Source organism: Homo sapiens, chromosome 11 (genome assembly GCF_000001405.40).
Source record: "Homo sapiens chromosome 11, GRCh38.p14 Primary Assembly".
NCBI lineage: Eukaryota > Metazoa > Chordata > Mammalia > Primates > Hominidae > Homo > Homo sapiens.
The window spans coordinates 5,644,427-5,660,985 of NC_000011.10; the positions used below are offsets into that span (position 1 = coordinate 5,644,427).

Consider the following 16,559-nt stretch of genomic DNA (forward strand, 5'->3'; position numbering starts at 1 on the left):
TAGTTTTGTGGCCTTCAGAGGAATAGTAGTTGATTTTACTGAAGTCTCATTTTTCAAGTTCCCAGACTCCACTGTTAAGACCACTCCAATTTTAGTTTTGTTTTATAGAACTTTTTATACTGAGAGTGGGACTGTTTTTTTTCTTTTTTATTGTACATATTTAAGATATATATACTATGATGTTTTGATACACACTTACATGGTAAAGTGATTACTACAGCCAAGTAAATTATACATCCACTGTATCATATAGTTACCGTGTGTCGGGGGGGTGGTGGTTAGTGCATTTAAAATCTTTCTTAGCAAATTCCCAGTAGACAATACAATATTAACTAGAATCCTTGAAATAGTTGGGATTTTTGTCCTGCCCAAATCTCATGTTGAAATGTAATCCCCAGTGTTGGAGGTGGGGCCTGGTGGGAGGTGATTGGATCATGGGGGCCTCATGGAGGGCCTCGCACCATCCCCATGGTAATGAATACATTCTTGCTGTGAGTTCTTGGGAGATCTGGTTATTTAAGAGTGTGGCACTTCCTCCTGTCTCTGTATTGTTCCCACTCTTGCCAGAGATGTTCCTGTTCCTGCTAATGTTAGGATAAAAAAGTGATTATATTTGACAAAAAAAATTTAAGTTAGTACAACAATAAAAAAGTACGATAGGCTGGGTGCCTTGGCTCATGCCGGTAATCCCAGCCAGCACTTTGGGATCCCAGCCAGCACTTTGGGAGGCCGAGAAGAGAGGATCACGTGAGGTCAGGAGTTCAAGACTGGCCTGGCCAAAATTGCAAAACCCTGTCTCTACTAAAAATACAAAAATTAGCTGGATGTGGTGGCGAGCCCCTGTAATCCCACCTACTTGGGAGGCTGAGGCATGAGAATCGCTTGAACCTGGGAGGCGGAGGTTGCAGTGAGCTGAGATTGCACCACTGCACTCCAGCCTGGGCAACAAGAGCAAAACTCTGTCTCAAAAAAAAAAAAAAAAAACTGTGAAAAAAGTGGTTTGTTATATAGATCACCAAAAAATTATGAAACATTGTCATACAATTCAATGCTAGGTTTTAAATCTCTGTAAAATGAATAGGTTAAAATTAACAATCTTACAATCAGGAAGAAGCAGAAAATTCCGTAGAACCACAATAATAAAATGATGTAAACATTATAAAATTATATGTGTTCAAGTGCATAGAATGAGAGTACTTTTGAAGGTCTAATGTTTTGGGTCAGTTCTACAATCAGGAAGAAAAAAAGACAGGCCTACCTTTCCTTCTTCAGAAGAGAGTGGGGACAGAGGAGATTTGATGAGGGTCAAGTCTAGGAAAAGCTTCACTTTTGCTCATTGTATGTTGATTCTCTGGATACATTCCCACCTGTTCTTTGCCCTGATGATGAGACTTTTACCCAGATGTGACAACTGCTCTCTTCATCTCATCTAGTCTTCTGGAAAAAAAAAAAAAATATATATATATATATCTATATATAGATATATATAGATATATATATAGATATATAAAACATGTATATTAAATGTATATTAATATGTGTATGTATTTATAACATATGTGTAATTTATAATTATATATAATACATATATACATATGTATAGTACACATAAATATATTAGATTATATATGTATAATACATATAAATGTATACATTTTAATATACATGTATATTATATAAATATACATATACACACGTACACACACACATATCCCCAAATACACCAACCACCCTCATGTTTCTTCCCAGAATTCCAACCACCAGAGGCACAGCTTTTTTGGAAATATCATTTTACCACAGTAGCACTGGATGTCTGTCCACTCTGAAATGATAAAAATTCATAATATTGACTATATGCAAAGGAGGCAGCACTGACGTCAATTTTTTCTCCAGAACAGAGAAAGAGGAGGGGACTATGTTAGGGCAATGAATTTGCGAATAATAGCATGAAACAGTCTCTTGGTTATTCTCCATCAAATATGACCACATCATCAGCACACAATGTCCATCCTCCCTTATCTCTTCCATCTACGCCTAGAAACTGCTCTCTTCCCTGTCTAGCACCTGCCACCACTAGACTACTGCAGATCTAGTTGTTCTAGCTCTTCTCATCTTTACACGCTTGAAGCATTCCTCTTAGATGAGAAGCTCAACACACTTCCCTTTATTCTTTGGGAAACGTTTTTAGCTTAAGTCAAATTCTCACCCCTAGGAATGAAAAAAAATTGACTCCCAAACCTCTGACTTTGTAACCCTTGGACACCACTGATTTCCTATCATTTCACCCCACTGATGTACTTGAACTCTGTTCCCTGAGAAGGGAGAGGGCAGACCCTTGACCCTAGAACCAGACAAAATGTACTCGTGTCCACTTTCTCCCTTACTCTCTGTATGACCATGGGATGGTCTTAACCTCTCAGAAGCACAGTTTCTTCCTTCCAAAATGAAATAATTAATCTCTCCCTCTCTACCTTCTTGAGCTCATAGGACATGAAGAAATAATGGATTTTAAAAAAAACAAACAAAAAAACTTTGGTGCCTTAACAAAACGATTTAATGTGTGGAAACATCATTGCTATGGATGTGGGTTACCAGAAAGATGGTTAGACAGTGAGGTTGCAGGACCTGGCTCCTGGGTGTTTGAGACGTATCAGGAGAGGAATCCTGTCTGGAGAGGCCTAAGACCTTCAAAGCCTATTTCCACTAGAGAAGTGCTCAGATAATATCTGAGGTTCCATGTTTTTTGGGGAAAATTACCAATACTTGGCAAAGGGGATTTTATGAATACCAAACTAATAGTGGTCTGAATTTTGTGTGTTTAGAAAAGCTCTATATTGTCAAGTAGGTGTACAGTTTTAGACACTAAGATGTCACCTTTTCATACTCTTCTAAAGTATCTGACTGAGATGAATCAATTGTTTACACCAAGGAAAAAAACTATTCCAGAAATGCATATCTCTTTTTTTAAATCTAAATAGAATCACAAGGAAGGATCTGTTCTCTTCTATACCCACAGGAAAAATATAAATATATAGGAGTTGTCTGAATGAAAAATTTGGGGTGCTTGGCAGACAAGATATAATTCTCTTATAGCAAATGAGACATCATTTTTTTGAGACAAAGTCTCACTCTGTTACCCAAGCTGGAGTTCAGTGGTGCAATCTTGGCTCACTGCAACCTCCACCTCCCGGGTTCAAGCAGTTCTCCTGCCTCAGCCTCCTGAGTAGCTAGGACTACAGGCACACGCCACCATGCCTGGCTAATTTTTGTATTTTTAGTAAAGAGGGGATTTCACTACGTTGGCCAGGCTGGTTTTGAACTCCTGACCTCGTGATCCACCTGCCTTGGCCTCCCAAAGTGCTGGGATTATAAGCGTGAACCACCACGCCCGGCTGAGACACCTATTAAATACAAAACCAGAGCTAGATGGAGGTAATGCAATGGTGATGTCACGGGGGTCTGATACTGCAACACCTTATCCCTAATACCACTATTGATCCACACACTCTGTGACTCTCCACCACCCAAATTTTATACCATAGAATGCGATTTATTCTCGGTAGTTTTAGAATGCTCAAACCCTAAATTGTGACCAGAAATTTACAATAATATTATATCTAAATTTCCTGTCCTGGGAGATGTTTTATTCTGATTGAACTCCGGGCAATTCTAATGGCTACACATCTTTTCTCACAACACAAAAGGACAATCTCTGTTCTCCCACATATATCACTTTATGATGCCATCCACATTCTAGGAAGAAGAAAGAAAACATAAATTAAGAAATAACAGCTTCGGGGCCGGGCGCGGTGGCTTACACCTGTAATCCCAGCACTTTGGGAGGCCAAGGCAGGTGGATCACGAGGTCAGGAGATCGAGACCATCCTGGCTAACACGGAGAAACCCCATCTCTACTAAAAATACAAAAAATTAGCCGGGCGTGGTGGCGGGTGCCTGTAATCCCAGCTACTCAGTTGGCTGAGGCGGGAGAATGGCGTGAACCTGGGAGGTGGAGGTTGCAGTGAGCCGAGATCGCGCCACTGCACTCCAGCCTGGGCGACAGAGGGAGACTCCATCTCAAAAAATAAATAAATAAATAAAATAAAATAAATAACAGCTTCTCCTCACACACGAGGCTTCATCACATTTCCCCCAGTCCCTGAGGTGCTGAGAATGGAGATAGGGCCAGTGTGAAAGACAAAAAAAATAAGCATAAGACCCAGAGCAATCATTCCAGTAGAGTCATGTGAGGCTGTCAAGTTCTCTAAAAAGTAGAAACAGTTTTCACCCTTGTGGAAGAGGCTTTTGGTATCTGCAGATGGGACGTGTTTATAAGGAAAAGAAGAGACCTACAATTATTTTTCTCCAAACATGTATGACTCCCCATGAAATGTTTTAAAACGTTAAATAATTAGTGTTTCTTTGATTTATTCAACCAATTTGCAAAATTATTTGTCAGATATTATGCCAGGATTCAAAGAATCAAAAATAAATAAAAAGTTGTCCTCAAGAAGTTTACATGGCTTTGCTGAGAGTATAAGCAAACAAGTGTACTAAACCAGTATAGGTGTTTGCTTCTCAAGCCCCTCTCTTCATTTTAGATATAAACTGTAACTGACCTCATTCATTTCCTTAAGATCAACATACACATATCTGTACTTGATTTCCAACTCTCTATTTTTACTCAGTTTTCACTTAAATGCAGTTTAATATATTCAGTAGTGAAGGAGCCATGAGGACCAGCAATTCAGGATGTCTATTATGTAACACCAACCACACTGTTTTCTTATACCAGATTATCTATAAAATGTTACCAATATCTATTCATAGTACCCCTTCTTCCACTAACCATTCCATATTCTCTTTCCTCTCAGCAAGCACCTCGAGTGATAGCGATTTCTACCTGATGGAGTGACCCAAACTTTCATTTCTGAAGGGGCTTGGCCATTCCTCGTCTTGCCTGAGCTGAGTTGTTGTCTTTTTTTATTGACTTTAATCACAGGGCACAATAATATTAAGAGATACCCTAAGGGATCTCCAGACATACATTTTCTTAACCTACATTGTGGAGTAGTTGTTCTAAGTGTCCTTGATAGTCAGGATTAATCATCCTAGCAAGCACAGTAATTCCTGTCTTTGCCTGTTGGTTCAGAGGCATGAGCACCCAAAGTGGCTGGGTGGCTGTCTTAACTTCTAGTTCAATGAAATCATTGTCATGTCTACTGGTGAAAGCATTCTTCCTTTTGGAACTAAGATCGCTAAGGCAGCAGAGCGTAATGTTGCAGAAGTAGAAGGCAAAATTTGCTAGTGGAGCACTAGGAATAGTAGTGAGTGGTATCTCTCCCCTATCCACCCCTTGATTTATAGTCCCATGAATCCTAGTCATGGGAAAAATAACACCATATGTTGGACACTGATTTAGAGGATATATGCCCTCCTAAAGAACTTTGCCCCAATCCGGGAAGATACTGCCACTTAACTGGTGCTTTTAGTTTGTCTTGTAAGGGCCACTTTTCTATCAAGACAGCTGCTCAGGATGATGGGGAACATAGCAAGTTCAGTAAATTCCATAAACATGGGCCCTTTGCTACACTTTATTTCCTATGAAGTGAGTTCCTTGATTGGAATCAATGCTGTGTGGAATACCATGGTGGTAAATGAGGCATTCTGTAAGTCTGAGGATGGTAGTTCTTGGAGAAACGTTGTGTGTATGTAAAGCAAATCTGTATCCAGAGTAAATGTCTATTCCAGTGAGGAGAAAATGCTGACTTTTCCATGATGAATGCAGTATGTAGTCAATGTGCAACTAAGGTAGCTTTCCAATTCCTTCACCATCTATTCAAACCATTGGCCATTGCCCGTGATTCAGTATATAACATACGTCTGGCTATTTCTCTTTCTAAGCAATATGAACAATTGGTTGCACTACTTTTTAAAGTTCTGCCTATTGGGAGGGCTTTCCTTCAAGGGGTACTTCAGGGATATCCCAGAAAAAAGCTTTAGTGCTATAGATGTCTCCTCCAGGTGATACCTTCATATCGTACAGAACCATCTGTAAACTGGATCTGAGTTTTTTCTTTCTTCATCAACTGATTGTAGATAATTTTCCATGAGGACATACCTGCAGGCTGGGTGAGAGTAGATAGTGCAGCAGAAGTGAAGACCATGCACATGTGAGCCACTTCTTTGTGTGACTTGTATTTTGTTTTAGGGCCTGCTTATGGCCACTCATGTAGATAACACTTCCGTTTTTTGTTGGAGCGCTACTGTGCACATCCAAATTTGTTGTTTGATGGATCAGCTAATACCTAGTTCATGATGGCCAGGTAGGGTCACATAGTAACTTCGTGGTCCATAGTTCAGTGTTCAGTCTCCACCAAGGCTCAATAGAAAGCCAAAAGCTGTTTCTTGAAAAAGATAGTAGGTATCTACAGAAGATAGCACCTACAGGGTCCTGCCAAATACTCCAAAATCTTCCTTATCTGCCACAGACATTTCAAGCACCATTGTATTGGCTTGATCATATGGTCCCAGTGGCAGGGCAGATTTAGCAACGCCTGTATCAACTGCAGAGCATTATCTTATTCCAGCTTCCACTCAAATCTTACTCTTTTCAAGTAACTTAGTAAATGGACTGGAGTGACACCTCAAAATGAGGAACATGTTGCCTCCAAAATCCAAAGAGGGTCACTAGGTCCTGTGCCTCTCTTTTGGTTGTAGGCATGGCCAGATGCAACAATTTCCTTTTCACTTTAAAAGGGATATTTCCATACACCTCACACCACCAGATCCCTGGAAATTTCACTGAGAAGATCCCTGCAGTTTTTTAATTAATTTAGGTTCAGGGGTACATGTGCAGATTTCTTATATAAGTAAACTGTGTGCTTTGGGATTTGGTGTACAGATTGTTTCATCACCTGGGTAATAAGCATAGTACCCAGTAGGTAGTTTTTCAATTCTTACCCTCCTCTAAACCTCCACCCTCAAGTAGGCTCCGATGTCTGTTGTTCCCTTCTTTGTATCTATATCTACTCAATGTTTTGCTTCCACTTATAAGTAAGAACATCTAGCATTCCATGGTGTATAGGTACCACATTTCCTTTATCTAGTCTATCATTGATGGCCATTTAGGTTGTTTCCATGTATTTGTTATTGTGAATGGTGCTGTGATGAATGTACAGGTGCATGTGTCTTTATGGTAGAATGATTTATATTCCTTTGTGTATATACCCAGTAATGGGATTGCTGGGTCTAATGGTAATTCTGCTTTGAGTACTTTGAGAAATTGCCAAACTGCTTTCCACAGTGGCTAAACTAATTTACATGCCCACCAGTAGTGTGTAAGCATTCTCTTTTCTCTGCAACCTCACCAGCATCTATTATTTTTTTTACTTTTTAATAATAGCCATTTAGACTGGTGGGAGATGGTATCTCATTGTGGTTTTGATATTCATTTCTCTAATGACTAGTGATGTTGAGCATTTTTTCACATGCTTGTTGGCCACGTGTATGTCTTCTTTTGAGAAGTGTCTGTTCATGTTCTGTGCCCATATTTTAATGGGGTTGTTTGTTTTCTGCTTGTAAATTTATTGAAGTTACTTATAGAACCTATATATTAACCGTTTGTCAGGTGGATCATTTACAAATATTTTCTCCCATTTTGTAGGTTGTGTATTTTCTCCGTTTTTTGTTTTTGTTTTTGGTTTTGGTTTTTTTTGCTGTGCAGAGGCTCTTTAGTTTAATTAGATCCCATTCGTCAACATTTGTTTTTGTTGCAATTACTTTTGGAGTCTTTGTCATGACATCTTTGCCAGGGCCTGTGTCCAGAATGGTATTACCTAGGTAATCTTCTAGGGTTTTTATAAGTTTTAGGTTTTATATTTAATTCTTTAATCCATCTTGAGTTGACTTTTGTATATGATATAAGGAAGGGGTCCAGTTTCAATCTTCTGCATATGGCAAGCGAGGTATCTCAGCCCATTCATTGAATAAGGGGTCCTTTTTCCATTTCTTGCTTTTGTCAACTTGGTTTAAGATCAGATGGTTGCAGGCTTGTAGCATTATTTCCGGGCTCTGTGTTCTATTCCATCAGTCTATATGTCTGCTTTTAAACCAGTACCATACTGTTTTGGTTACTGTAGCTTTGTAGTATGGTTTGAAGTCAGGTAATTGATGCCTCCAGCTTTGTTCTTTTTGCATTCTAATTCCTTGGCTATTTGGGTTCCTTTTTTTATTTCATATGAATTTTAGAATAGTTTTTTTCTAGTCCTGTGAAGAATGTCCTTGGTAGTTTGATAGGAATAGCACTGAATTTGTAAAGTGCTTTGGGTAGTATGGCCATTTTACCAATATTGATTCTTCCAATCCATGAGCATAGAATGTTTTTCCATTTGTTTGTGTTAATCTCTGATTTCTTTTTCTTTTTCTTTTTTTTTTTTTTTTTGAGGCAGAGTCTCGCTCTGTTGCCTAGGCTGGAGTGCAGTGGCGTGATCTCAGCTCACTGCAAGCTCCAGCCTCCTGGGTTCATGCCATTCTCCTGCCTCAGCCTCTCAAGTAGCTGGGACTACAGGTGCCCACCAGCATACCCGGCTAATTTTTTGTATTTTTGGTAGAGACGAGATTTCACCATATTAGCCAGGATGGTCTCGATCTCCTGACCTTGTGATCTGCCCGCCTCGGCCTCCCAAAGTGCTGGGATTACAGGCATGAGCCACTGTACCCGGCCATCTCTGATTTCCTTGAGCAGTGTTTTCAAATTCTCATTGTAGATATCCTTCATCTCCCTGCGTAACTGTATTCCTAGGTATTTTCTTCTTTTTGTGGCTGTTGTGAATGGGATTGCATTCCTGATAGTTTGAATCTAATGTGCCTTGAAGAAGACTTTTTGGGTTGAACATATGTGTTAGTCCTTGGGCTTCCTATATCTGGATATCTATATCTGTTGCAAGACTTGGGAATTTTTCATCAATTATTTCATTAAATAGATTTTCCTTGCTTTCTCTCATCTATCCTCCTTCTGGAATTTCCAAAATGGCAAACTGTTTTTTCCGATTTTTTTTTGTTTTTTTTGTTTTTTTTTTTTTGAGATGGAGTCTTGCTCTATCACCCAGGCTGGAGTGCAGTGGAGTGATCTCGACTCACTGCAACATCTGCCTCCCGGGTTCAAGCGATTCTCCTGCCTCAGCCTCCTGAGTGGCTGGGATTAGAAGTGCGCACCACCATGCCCGACTAATTTTTGTATTTTTGGTAGAGACAGGGTTTTTACCGTGTTGGTCAGGCTGGTCTCGAACTCCTGACATCGTGATCCACCTGCCTCGGCCTCCCAAAGTGTGAGGATTACAGGTGTGAGCCACCACGCCCGGCTAAAACTGTTTTATTTAATACAGTTCCATATGTCCTGTAGTCTTTCTTTATTTTTAGTATTGTTTTTTGTTTTTGTTATCTGAGTAAATTACTTTAAAAGACCTGTGTCAATTCAGAAATTATTTCTTCTGCTTGATTTAGTCTATTGTTAATGCTCTAGAGTGTATATTTTTTTATTTCATTCCTTGAGTTCTTCACTTCTAACATTTCTGTTTGGCTCTTTTTATGGTGTCTGTCTCTTTGTTGAATTTCTCATTCAGATCATGAATTGTTTTCCTGATTTCTTTTTATTGCCTACCTGTATTGTCTTGCATCTCACTGAGTTTCCATAAAATCATGATTTTGAATAATTTTTCAGGCATTTCATAGATATTTTTTCCTTGAAACCTTTTATTGAAGAATTGTGTTCCTTTGGAGGTATCATGTTTTCTTGCTTTTTTTGTTTCTTTTGTTCTTACATTGATATCTACACATCTGGTTAATAGTCATTTCTTCCAGTTTTACAGATTTTCATAGAAAAATACTTTTTGCTTCAGATAACTCTACAGTTTTGATTGAGTAGGGTACTGAGGCTTTGACTGGGTAGGCACAGTGGTATAGTGTTCATGTAATTTATTTGGCTGTATTCAACATCAGTACAGTCTGCAAATTTCTCAATTGCTTAGGCTGTGGTTGTTAGTGGAGGCTATGGTAAGGCTTTGCTGGGGATGTCAGGCAGGATGTTCCTTGTGACCCTGGGGAGCACGTGTGAGTACCAGTGGTGGTGCCAGGGGCCAGGCATGCTAGTCTTCGAACACCTGGGCAGCATACATGGGAGCTGGTGGTGGCAGATGTGGGTGAGTGTGGGTTTGTACCAATCACTTTTGACTATTTCTAGTTTCAAACACTATGCGGCACAGGAAAAATGTGCTTAGAGTGTTGTGTTGTGGATAGATTAACCACATGCATTGAGGTAAGTATCCAGATAAACTACAGGAATAAAATGGAGATGTGAAAAATTGTAGGTTAAAATTTGTCAAAAAGGATTACCTAAATGTTAATAACACCACAAAAATAGCAGAATTTCATTATGTACCACAGCATTTATGTTGACTGCAATATAAGAAATGGCATTTTTCTGGCCGGGCACGGTAGCTCCTGCCTGTAATCCCAGCACTTTGGAAGGCTGAGGCGGGTGGATCACCTGAGGTCAGGAGTTCAAGATCAGCCTGGCTAACATGGTGAAACCTGGTCTCAACTAAAAATACAAAAAAATTATCTGGGCGTGGTGGCGGGCACCTGTAATCCAGCTACTTCGGGAGGCTGAGGCAGGAGAATGGCTTGAACCTGGGAGGTGGAGGTTGCAGTGAGCAGAGATCACGCCATTGCACTCCAGCTTGGGCAACAAGAGCGAAACTCCGTCTAAAAAAAAAAAAAAAAGGAAATGGCCTTTTCTTGCCTTTAGGAAACTTACCATTGGTTGTAGAGCTGGGTGGGAACAATATTCAATGATAGTAGTATGTGATAAATAAAGAAAAAGACTTCCTGCCTCCCAGAATAATATTTATCTACAATTTAAATAATTATCATTTAATTTGAGAAACATGATGAATTTATTGTTTGTTAGAGCAAACTTCACTCAACCAAGAAACTGAAATTGTTATGTGGATCATTATACCAATATGATTTTGAGTTCCTCCAAATAGAAATAAGTAGGTAAAAAGGATTTTATAAGCCAGGATTAGTTTATTAGTCTATGGGTAACAAAAGATGCCAAAATATGTATTATTTCAGTAAGAAACATTCATTTCTTGGTCATCCTACATGAATAGCATTGGTTAAGGTGTGAAGATTGCCATGCTCCTCAGCGTCAGTAAGGAACCAATGTTATGGAGGCTTCATCGGTTTTTAGTGACGTCATCTGGCATATGCAGTCAAAAAAAGAATAAGATAGATAACCGGGCACAAAAGTATGTGCAGGACATATAAAATCATTCAGTGCTACATTTTAATTAATTGTGTAAAAATGAGCAAACTTCCATTGGTCTATAAATCTACAGAGCAGAGGCCTCAGAAATAATGCCACACATCTACAACCATCTGATCTTTGACAAACCTGACAAAAGCAATGGGGAAAGGATTCTCTATTTAATAAATGGTGTTGGGAAAACTGGCTAGCCATATGCAGAAAACTGAAACTGGACCCCTTCCTTACACCTTATAGAAAAATTAACTCAAGATGGATTAAAGACTTAAACATAAGACCTAAAACCATACAAATCCTAGAAGAAAACCTAGGCAATACCATTCAGGACATAGGCATGGGCAAAGACTTCATGACTAAAACACCAAAAGCCATGGCAACAAAAGCCAAAACTGACAAATGGGATCTAATTAAACAAAAGCGTTTCTGCACAGCAAAAGAAACTATCATCAGAGTGAACAGGCAACCTACAGAATGAGAGAACATTTTTGCAATCTATCTACCTGACAAAGGGCTAAAATCCAGAATCTACAAAAAACTTAAACAAATTTACAAGAAAAAAACAACCCCATCAAAAAGTGAGCGAAGGATATGAACAGACACTTTTTTTTTTTTTTTTGAGAAAGAGTTTTGCTCTGTTGCCCACACCAGAGTGCAGTGGTGTGATCTTGGCTTACTGCAACCTCTGCCTCCCAGGTTCAAGCAATTCTTCCTGCCTCAGCCTCCCAAGTAGCTGGGATTACAGGCATGCACCACCATGCCCGGCTAGTTTTGTATTTTTAGTAGAGATGGAGTTTCTCCATGTTGGTCAGGCTGGTCTCGAACTCCCAACCTTAGGTGATCCGCCCACCTCGGCCTCCCAAAGTACTGGGATTATAGGCGTGAGCCACTACGACAGGCCATGAACAGACACTTCTTAAAAGAAGACATTTATGCGGCCAACAAACATTTGAAAAAAAACCCATCATCACTGGTTACTAGAGAAATGCAAATCAAAACCACAATGAGATACCATCTCACTCCAGTTAGAATGGCGATCATTAAAAAGTCAGGAAACAACAGATGCTGGAGATGATGTGGAGAAATAGGAACACTTTTACACTGTAGGTGGGAGTATAAATTGGTTCGACCATTGTGGAAGATAGTGTGGCGATTCCTCAAGTATCTAGAACCAGAAATACCATTTGACACAGTAATCCCATTACTGGGTATATACTCAAAGGATTGTAAATCATTCTACTACAAAGACACATGCACACATATGTTTATTGCAGCACTATTCACAATAGCAAAGATTTGGAACCAACCCAAATGCCTATCAATGATAGACTGGATAAAGAAAATGTGGCACATATACATCATGGAATACTATGCAGCTACAAAAAAGGATGAGTTCATGTCCTTTGCAGGGACATGGATGAAGCTGGAAACCATCATTCTCAGCAAACTAACACAGGAACAGAAAACCAAACACTGCATGTTCTCACTTATAAGTGGGAGTTGAACAATGTGAACACATGGACACAGGGAGGGGAACATCACACACCAGGGCCTTCGATGGGTGGGGGACTAGGGAAGGGATCGCATTAGGATAAATACCTAATTTAGATGACAGGTTAATGGGTGCAGCAAACCACCATGGTACGTGTATACCTGTGTAACAAACCTGCACGTTCTGCACATGTATCCCAGAACTTAAAGTGTATATATATATAAAATATTTATATATAATGCATTTATATATATATTTATATATTATATATAATGCATTATATATATTATTTATATATTATATATAATGCATTTATATATATTATTTATATATTATATATAATGCATTATATATAATATATATTTATATATTATATATAATGCATTATATATATTATTTATATATTATATATAATATATATTTATAATATAATATATATATATTTATAATATAATATATATAAATATATATATATATTATATTGTATTATATTCTGGAATAGCTGGGACTACAGGCCTGCACCACCATGCCCGGCAAATTTTTGTAGTTTTAGTAGAGACAGAGTTTCACCATGTTGGCCAGGCTGGTCTCTAACTCCTGACCTCAAGTGATCTGAGAGCCTCGGCCTCCCAAAGTGCTGGGATTACAGGCCTGAGCCACCATGTCTGGCAAAATCCTTTTATTTAGAAAAATAAGTTTATTTTTCCCATTCAGAATGACAGCTGCTAATTATATGAGAGGGGTGCAGGGAAGTGCTGAAAAGAGAAAGGCACGGTCCCTGACAAAGCCTCCACTCCTGGGGCCTGGGCCCACAGACTTAGGTGAGGACAGGAATTTCCGTTTTTGTGCCCAAATGTTGCATTTTCCAAGATCACCCTGGCCTGCTATGCCCCCATCCTGTGCCTATAGCAGGAAGAGACACAAGCAACTGAATGTTAAGAGTAGCAAATTGGTAGAAGAACACACCAACAGGCACCAGCACATGCTGGAAGGCCAGCGACCAATGGACCGATGCAGAGATTGGTCGGGGATGTCAGAGGACAGCCTGGCTGCTGGGTGGCCCAACTCCAGGGAAATCCACCTTCCTACTCCATCTTCCTTCTGGCCTCTTCATCCACCTCGCTGAGAGCTACTACCACTCGATAAAAAACCTTGCACTCGTTCTCCAAGCCCACGTGTGATCCAATTTTTCTGATACGTTAAGGCAAGAACCTGGGATACAGAAAGCCCTCTGTCCTTGCAATAAGGCAGAGGGTCAGAGCAGATAAACACAAGCCACCTGCAGGCAGCAAAGAGGAAACTCCTCCAATACTGTTATATTTTTCTAAGTGTCTATTACCCTGAATATTCTGACTGCTTTTGTCACTTTCTAGTGCCTTCAGGTTTACTTGATTTTCACATTTTGTGCAAGGTTTCTAATGTTGATCTATGGGTGAGGACATGAAGTTTTGTTAGAAAGAGTACAGTGTGTGCATGTGTCTTTATAGCAGCATGATTTATAATCCTTTGGGCACATACCCAGTAATGGGATCGCTGGGTCAAATGTGGCACTATACACCATGGAATACTATGCAGCTACAAAAAAGGATGAGTTCATGTCCTTTGCAGGGACATGGATGAAGCTGGAAACCATCATTCTCAGCAAACTATCACAAGGACAGAAAACCAAACACCGCATGTTCTCACTTGTAGGTGGGAATTGAACAATGAGAACACTTGGACACAGGGCGGGGAACATCACACACTGAGGCCTGTGGTAGGGTGGGCGCCTGGGGGAGGGATAGTATTAGGAGAAATACCTAATGTAAATGACGAGTTAATGGGTGCACCAAACCAACACGGCACATGTATACATATGTAACAAACCTGCACATTGTGCACATGTACCCTAGAACTTAAAGTATAAAAAAAAAGAGTACAGTGTAACACATGTCCGCGGGGCCCACAGGAGCTGTAAACACTCACCCCTAGAGGTTGCTGTGGGGTTAGAGCCCCACAGCCTGCCCGTCTGCATTCTCCCCTAGAGCTTTGAGCAGCAGGGCACTGAAGCGAGCCATTCCCCCTGTCGCATGCCCTGCAAAGGGAACAAGGGAACTTTTCTCATTTCACTAATAACTCATTTTGTCAGCCCAAATTTGCAGAGCTTTATAACTCAGTGTCTTCCCCATCAGATTGCATTTCAAGATGCTAGGTGTCAAGTTGTTCTGGGTCATTATTCTACATGCTTAGAGCTTAGGTATAAGATAACTTCAACTAATAATTATAGAATTGCATGGAAATTCTAAGTACTCAGGTAAAGCACTGTATATTCAAAGCTGTAGAATGTATAACTGTAATTCATATTCTTTTAATTCAAATATTCTTGCTGTAGTAAACTGCACTAAGAATAAAACTGTAGTGACTGAGTGCCTAGATGGTACAGACCATAGAACATACTGAAACATTACCATCCCCAGGTTTTATTGTTTTGTAAGCTCCTGTTCTGGATTCTGTATAATTCTCTGAAGCCTTTTTTTTTTTTCAGGTAGTTAATTTGATTGAAATTAAATTCTTAATTTTTCCCTGCTACATACAGCAGCTGAAATCTTTAGCCTATTTTGGGCTGCTTCACATCTGTCTCAAACATGTACTTTAGAGACTTGACTAGAGTTTATACAATTTGGTATTTATTCCTCTATATCTCTTCTTTACGGGTACTCTACCATCATTTTCTAGTTGCTATGGCAGGCACAAATCATTCTTTTTTTTTTGAAACGGAGTCTCGCTCTGTCGCCCAGGCTGACGTGCAGTGGCGAGATCTCGGCTCACTGCAACCTCTGCCTCCTGGGTTCAAGCGATTCTCCTGCCTCAGCCTCCTGAGTAGCTGGGACTACAGGCGCCCACCACCATGCCCGGCTAATTTTTGTGTTTTTAGTAGAGACGGGGTTTCACCATATTGGCCTAGCTGGTCTCGAAATCCTGATCTTGTGATCTGCCCACCTCAGCCTCCCAAAGTGCTGGGATTACAAGCGTAAGCCACTGCGTCCGGCTCATTCTTGTTTTTCAAAGCAGCAAGTACATATATTGTTAACTGAGTTTTTAGTGTTCTACCCAGTAACAACTGAGGTCTGCCTTCAAGTGAAAAGCCACAGAAACAGGAAACTCCCCCAATACTGTTGTCTTTTTCTAAGTGTCTATTACCCTGAATATTCTGATTGCTTGTCACTTTCTAGTGCCTTCAGGTTTGATTTTTACATTTTGTCCAAGGTTTCTAATGTTGGATCTGTGGGTGAGGGCATGCAGTTTTATTAGAATATATACCTTCATTAATGGAAATAGAACCTCAGTTTTGCTCACTCTAGACAATCTTTAACTATATGTTAAATTGATTGATTTTACGCTTTCTTTCTCTACCAAACTGCCGGATTTTTTTTTCAGTGTGGTTGTAATGTTTTGCACTGCCACATAATTCAGAAAGAAAATAATGGTGGTGTTGGAGTATGGTGGTTAATACAAAGATATTATTAAGTTTAGATAGGCCGGGCGCAGTGGCTCACGCCTGTAATCCCAGCACTTTCGGAGGCCGAGGCGGGCGGATCTTGAGGTCAGGAGATCGGGACCATCCTGGCTAACACGGTGAAACCCTGACTCTACTAAAAATACCAAAAATTAGCTGGGCATGGTGGCAGGTGCCTGTAGTGCCAGCTACTCGGGAGACTGAGGCAGGAGAATGGCGTGAACCCAGGAGGTGGAGGTTGCAGT

The 16,559-nt window shown here is 39.9% G+C and overlaps 1 protein-coding gene and 1 long non-coding RNA gene across 10 annotated transcripts in view; both read right to left on the reverse strand.

Annotated features, from left to right (window-relative positions):
- The window catches only part of TRIM5 (tripartite motif containing 5), a 96,440-nt gene that overhangs the window by 55,792 nt on the left and 24,089 nt on the right, over positions 1 to 16,559 (reverse strand). For 4 of the 9 annotated variants that reach the window (XR_007062522.1, XR_007062518.1, XR_007062519.1 and 1 more), the window contains one exon: positions 1,259 to 1,437. Coding sequence is in view for 2 of the 9 variants with exons in the window: in XM_047427783.1 (XP_047283739.1) it covers positions 1,395 to 1,437 (43 nt within the window). In the remaining 7 variants the exon portion in view is untranslated. Of the gene's footprint in view, positions 1 to 134; positions 1,438 to 16,559 lie in introns of those variants that run through there. The other 5 variants (XR_007062521.1, XR_007062520.1, XR_007062517.1 and 2 more) reach the window with 5 other exon arrangements.
- LOC107984302 (uncharacterized) lies at positions 11,069 to 16,406 on the reverse strand. The gene is made up of 2 exons (XR_001748100.1): positions 14,784 to 16,406; positions 11,069 to 11,263 (listed from the first exon to the last, which is right to left on the reverse strand). It is a non-coding gene; the product is annotated as an uncharacterized LOC107984302 (long non-coding RNA).